At 37.6% G+C, this 6,996-nt stretch overlaps 1 annotated feature.

Moving 5' to 3' along the window:
* Window positions 3,823–4,499: an enhancer, noted in NCBI's record as "OCT4-NANOG hESC enhancer chr13:69992288-69992964 (GRCh37/hg19 assembly coordinates)". NCBI's record gives its function as "activates a minimal SCP1, AML or CMV promoter by ChIP-STARR-seq in primed H9 embryonic stem cells {active_cell/tissue: H9 hESC(primed)}" and the evidence as "EXISTENCE:reporter gene assay evidence [ECO:0000049][PMID:30033119]".

A 6,996-nucleotide genomic window follows, 5' to 3' on the forward strand; every position in this document is an offset into this window, starting at 1 on the left:
CCTAGTCAATTCTATCATGCCAGAAATTTCCCTTGTACATTTTTGCAGTTAAGCCTCTTAATTCTCCCTCAGAAAACCACCCATCTCTTTTTTTCTCTCTTGATTATATTTGTTTATCCAGACCTTCACAGAAAGGAAATTATATAGTAAACTTATTTTTCCTAATTTTTTTCTTCCAATATAATATTTTTTAGATTAATACCTCTTTGTTGCATACATCAATATTTTCTCATTTATTTTTGAGTAGTATTCTCTTATACGGATCTACCAAAATTTACATATCTACCACAATTTACGTATTGCACTGGTTGAAGGCTACTAAAAATAAAGCGCTTATAAATATTCACAAAACACTTTTAAATCAATTAGTATTAATATCTAAGTGCATAATTGCTAGGTCTTACAAGTAAATTATTAATTGTGTAAGAAACTGTCTGATTGTTTTTCACTGTGGTGATAATGTTGTACATTGATTAAGCTCTGTGCTCCCTGAAGACAGTGGGAGTCATCTGGGAGCACAGAGAGAAGACAGTCTGTGCCTTGAGATGACAGTAAAGAAGTCATAACAAAGGTTAGTTTTCCAATGTGCTCTCCTCTATCCTTTTGTGTTCTAGAGATGCAACTATCTACAAAGGACAACCTTATCCACGATATCCTGAAATAAGTGCTTTCTCCATCTTTCCCCAGATGATTTCTTTGTTTACCTGCCTCTACAAATCCCAGGTCACTTTTCTTGTATGAGACATTTCCTCATTAATAAATGTTCTCACTATTGCATTAGCTTCAATAAAACCATCTTTTTAATGGGTGCAATTTTGTCTTTGACAGTTTGGTGCCATGACTTGGACAGAATTGGATCTAACCCTTAAAGCCCTATGTTCTCTATCTAGTTAGCAAGGCCTCTAAGTTTCCATTGTGCTCCAGATGAAGAACTCAGAGGACAGCTCCTGACCCTGTGTTCCAGACTCCTGTACAACAGCAACACTGGTCGACAATAGCACTCATTGACTTTGATACTTATGAGTTCTCAAAAAGACAGAAAGGATATGACAAGAAATAAAAAAAAAAATTATTTCTGGTGCCAGCTTATTTCAGTTTTATGGCTTGATCACTTGTTGATCTCTTTAAACAGATGGTTTATAAATAACTTGTCTTTTTGGGTGAAAGACAACACAGATATCTAGTTTTTGTTTGTTTGTTTGTTTGTTTGTTTTCTATTTGCCTATTGTGAGCTCAGGTCAATTAACAAGTTGTACTTAATGGGAAAAGAAAAGCCCCTTGATATAAACTATTGAGTTTTGAGTTTTGTATTTCTGTGTGTGTGCTTGGCCCATGGTAGATATTTATAATTGAAGCTGTTATCTCCTTATCTGTGTCTATGTATGCTTGTGTTTTGAGGGTGTGTAATATTTTCCTATCTCTGGATGCTGTTACCAAATTTGACTACAAAATATTCTAAAATGGCTCTGTTCTGTTTGGCTTAGAGATAAATGCCAGTTACATAATTTGAATATATCTAAAATACTTTTAAATTTCCCACACAATAAAGAAATTGTCATGAGACACTGCTAGGAGTAATACTGACAGCAGTCCAACTTTATGTGTGAAGTACATGGTATGCATTTTTTGTTAAGGAAAAATATAGTAGTTTTGTACCAAGTAAAAGGTATTGGTGGTTGCAAATGAGAAAGAGGAAAATTCAGGACAAAACCTACTTGTATAGAAAATTATAGAACTAATGGAAATGGAATTTTTGCCAAGGCCAAACTGGCTATGGATTGATAGGTTTATTTATAAGATTCTCAAACAGATTTCAGTGTCAAATATAGTTATGCCTTTCGTACATTTCGGTAAACAACATAACCACATATATGACAATGATCTTATAATATTGTAATACTATACTTTTACTGTACCTTTTCTATGTGTAGATATGTTTAGTATACAAATACTTACAATTTTATTACAATGACTGATAGTATTCAGTACAGTAACATGTTGTACAGGTTTGTAGCCTAGAAACAATATGCTATACTATATAGCCTGGGTGTGTAGTGAGCTATATCATCTATGTTTATGTAAATACACTCCATGAGGTTCAAACAATAACAAAATAAACTAAGGACACATTTCTCAGAATGTGTCCCCATCATTAAGTGATGCATGACTGTATTGTGATGATGCAAAGTTTAACTTTGGCTTTCTCTTTCTTAAAAGGACATTTTCTTGAATTATTGGTTTGCTTTTAATAGAAGATTGTGAAAGATTTTTCTTTACTTTCTGTGTAATCTGAATAGATAACAGTGATTTTATGTTTTACCAGAACATCCTTCCATGGTTTATATTGATTGTATTATGTCCTTGACTATTTAAAAAAAAAAAACAAAGGTGTCTTACTTGGGAACAGAGATTTTATGTTTTACCAGAACAAACTTCCATGGTTTATGTTGATTGTAGTATGCTCTTGACTATAACAAAGGTGTCTGACTTAGGAGGTAGCTAAGGTGCTTTACAATCATATCACTTCCACTGTTTACTTTTAAAAGTATTTTATTTTCACTTTGGATTGAAAGCCAGCCAAGTATTTTTTCTTAAAATTTGTGATCCTATCTTAATTAAGTGTTCATATATTTTAACAACATTTGATATTTTGCCCTCTCAATATTGAATACTAGTTTTATCTTTTGGACCTAAAGTTGTCTTTAATATTTCCCAGCGAACCCTGGAAAATTACAAATAATGTGTTCTGTCACCTTGCAAAAAGTGCTAGAAATGATTAGGTTTATTTCATACATAATTTTGGATTCGTTTCATGAGAAGAGTTCTTAAATCAGAAGAGATACTGACCCTTCTGCAGGTTGAATTTGTATGGAAAACTATTATTAATGTAAATATTTGAGAAGTTTTATGGCATTTGGGAAGTTCCTAAAAAAATCAGCAATGCCCTCACAGTTCAAATTTTTATATTTATCAGCCTTGGCACTACATTGACTGATATTAGACAAAAACTGTACATATTATTAGTCATAATTTCAGAGATTTTGTATGTTAACTTTGTTAAAGTGTGCCCCCGGCTGACAAACAAAATGGACTCCTCCTGGCTCACTGAGGTGTTTAAAATTGAAACAGAATCAAGTAGCCATGGCTGGTGAGGGAGTAGTCACTACACTTTGTTCTTGGAAAGAAACTGTAAAAGTGTAATGGGACCTCTTTTTCTACAATCAAGCCAAACTAGTTTTTGTTGTCAGTGCTGAGATAAACTGCAGGTGAAAATTCCCCAACTGACCACCAACAGACCACCTAGAACCAGCCAATCAAAGAGACTGGTGATTTTGAGCTTAAAGGTCACCTGAAGAAGGCTCTGTTCCTCAATCCCTAACTCTGTTGCCTGTCCTGTGGATTTTGCCTTTATAGTCTTTAAATCTCCAATCCCCAATCAAGGGAAATTTCCTTTTACACTGAGGCTGCATCTCCTGAATTGTCAGATTTTTTTATAGAAAATATAGCTCTTCTTTTTATCTCCATAGATCTCATGATCTTTTGTAACACTAAGACCCACTTTATTTTTTACATTTGAATCTAACACCTAAGTAAGTGATTTTTATTTGTGGATTCACATCACTTGTTGATGGAGTTTATTAATACAGATATTTTGTACCTACTCCAAACTAAGTATCTTTACTTAGTATTCCTTTTTAACTGCTATTTTTATTTTATTGTAGTAAGAACACGACATAAGATCAATCTTCTTAAGAGATTTTTAAGTGTACTATATAATATTGTTAACTGTAGGTATAACGTTATATCCTTGGTATATTCTGAATTTGTTCTTGGTATTATATCCATGGTTAATTAGGTCTCAGGATTATGGATTTTATCTGAATATTCTTTTGGTAAAGATTGTGTGCCTCTAGTTTTAGATAATAGATATAATATCCACTAATCTTTGAAAATAGTGTTATTATATTAACAGAATTTTTGATTGACTTTTATTTTGTTTTGTATGTGACCAAAAGAACAAAATTTTTGGTCAGTTATACTACACTTGTTATGAATTCTCATCAATCTTTCACTTTTGAAATTTTTCTATAGTAAGTTAATCACAGCTACTTTATGTCTTTTGTCATGTACAAAGAGCTTTTGATTTTACTTTGATGTATTCCTGAAAGCACTTACAAAGTACTTCCTCTTCAACAAAGGACTGTCTCAGATTCCCATGGAAAAAGCTGTGTCAGGTAACCTCTGGATAGAGATATTGAATGGCAGTATTTAAACAACTTAGATACCATATGAGTGGACTGAGTCAGAATTTCCAAACTTTAGCCAAGAAACAGATGAGTTTATGAGACTGCTAACCCAGAATGGAGCAGGGCAAAAATTAATTACATAGGACATAAACAAATGAAGGAAGATCATTTTTGCTTGGATATTGTCAATGTTCTAATGTTGTATTTTCAGAGTATAAAACTTTGTCTTTTCTCCTAAATTATTAAAACTCATAGTAATCTGGTAGCTTAAACTTTTGGAAATAAAAGCAAAATATTTCAAAATGATGTATTTTTCTCCCTGCTTAACAACTCCACAATTCAGATACTCTGATCAAATTTTGTTATTCCCATGATAATTACCATATTTTCACATGGGATCAACAAGAATCCATCCTCCTTGTTAATAGACATGGCTCTAAGTGGTAACACACTTGCCCATAAAGTAGGAATGTGCAATTCTGGTGAATATTCTCAAGTGTCCTTATATTTGTGCATTAACTTTTCACATACTTTATTTCTTTATGTCTCTGTAAGTAATTTCTTGGATGGAAAAAAAAGACACTATACATGACTGATTAGCAATATTATTTACCAACGAACCCACAGACAGATGAGAGAATCAAAAACCTGTGCAAGAAAATAGATTCTTTCCATTTTTCTAAAGGAGAGCTGAAGTACAAAATCTCAGGAATACTTTCCCTATTAGAATGTGATGCCCTGAAGTCATGATTACATAAATAGTAAACTCAGGTGGGAAAGCTATACTGTGGTAAACATATGGTGAATATGGTAGCAAAGAGTATAGACAACTGAGTAGGAGTTGAATGTGAGGACACTAGCAGGAGGAATTTATATCTTCTCCATTGTGTCTTTAGCCTTCTTAGTCTGAAGCTTAGTTTAGGACATGCATGATATATCATCATGTTTACTAAAATAAATCCAAACATTGAACTTAATGAAATCTGAAGTTATTTAAATTATTGTATGAACTAACAATTCCAGTTTGCTTAACCTTGAAGCCTCATTAATGCTACATTAATTATAGTAAATAAAATTTTAACATTATTACAAATAATAATATATTAGTGTCACGTGATACTTAGGGTGTTGCTTCACCAGCCAGAAACCTCTGGGGCTGGTGGTGCCTCCTGCCTCAGTATTGCTCATGCCCACTGGGCTCATTCCTCCCACTCAGCCCATCAGTCTGCACTCGGCTCACACTACTGACCCAGATCCCATGTCTACCAAGGGCAAACCAGGCATGGAGTTGTGAGAGGTGTGTGAGCAAGCAAGTACGAGGTCCAGTCACTGCACATAGCCAGGCATGCAAGCTGCTGTGGCACGGCAGTCAGCTCCAGGAACTGGCACCAGTACCAGCTCTGTGCGAGGCTGCAGCCAGACCAGACATACCACAGGCAGCTTCTGCTGTGGGCACCAGTGTCTGGACAAGGGGATCACCATGGCTCCTGAACACTCAGAGATGCTAAAAACTTCAGAGCCCCAAGGAGGGTGTTACAGCCCTACTTCATGGAGCCCCTAGGTCTGGGATCCCTGAAGGGCTGTGACCCTTCTCTCCTCATCATCCACAATGTGGGAAGGCAGGGATGTGTTTCAGCCCTGTTTGTGTTATATCTCTTTCAGTTCTGCTATTTGGTGGGTTGAGAGTTCTTGTCCAGTGTCCAGGAAGAATGAGGTACAGAGAAAACTGGAGGGTGAGCAAAGCAGATAGGAGCTTCACTGAGCAACAGAACAGCTCTCAGGAGACCTGAAGTGAGTAGCTCCTTTCCAAAGGCAGGTCATCCCTACAAGTATCCAACTGTCAGAGGGTAGGAGACCCATAGTGGATAGCTCCTTTCCAAAGGCAGGTCATCGCAACGAGTTCACGAGATCCAAAGTGGGCAGCTCCTTACCACAGCTGGTAGTCCCCATGTCTGTCTGAGTCTGGGGTTTTTATGGGCTGAGAAAGGAGAAAGTGCATGCTGATTGATCCACGGACAGCCATGGATGGGCCTCCAAAAAGCACCATCTGATTAGTGGAATTGTCATCAATGAAGTTCTCACTCTGGGCCACAGACTTTGTCTAGAGCAGGCAACCTGGCCCCCAGGCTTCAAGCATTCCTTGACCTGAAGGTGGGCAGGGACCTGCCCCTTTCCACCCAGAAATGTCTGCCTCCCACCAGCAACATGCCTCCACAACACCCAGGCTGTTTGTACCCACAGGAGCCTGTAGGTCCATGCTTAGCTGCCCTCAGTCACTTGGCCTCTCTCCCATGCTCATCAGTGCCCAAAGTCTGGAGGGCTCCAAGGTGGCAGGGAGGCGTTACTGTGCTCAGGCTTGGCCACAACTTTGCTCCAAAATTGGAGTGAGCACTGGGAGCAGGGAGAGGCCAGGCAGCAGAAGCAGTCACTTCCAAGCCTGCAGGGGCAGGAGGGGCCTTCCTGGGCACCCCAGAGCACAGGGATGCTCAGGTCCAGAGCCGCATCTAAGACTACAGGGCTCCTACCCCACCAACTTGGTAAGAGGCAGGGCTCCTGCCTTTTCCTGTCTCCTGCTGGCCCTGCAGAGCACACAATCCTGACCATGCCTTCCCTACTGCAGCCAGCGTCTTCACAGCCACTGCTCCAGATGGGTCGCCACTGCCATTATTAAGGTGACAACTTTTTGTATTGCACTTAAAAGAGTTTACTGTCTTCAACATTATTTTGACTGTTTCTTGTAGAAAATGGA

The sequence above is a fragment of the Homo sapiens genome, chromosome 13 (assembly GCF_000001405.40).
Source record: "Homo sapiens chromosome 13, GRCh38.p14 Primary Assembly".
Taxonomy (NCBI): Eukaryota; Metazoa; Chordata; class Mammalia; order Primates; family Hominidae; genus Homo; species Homo sapiens.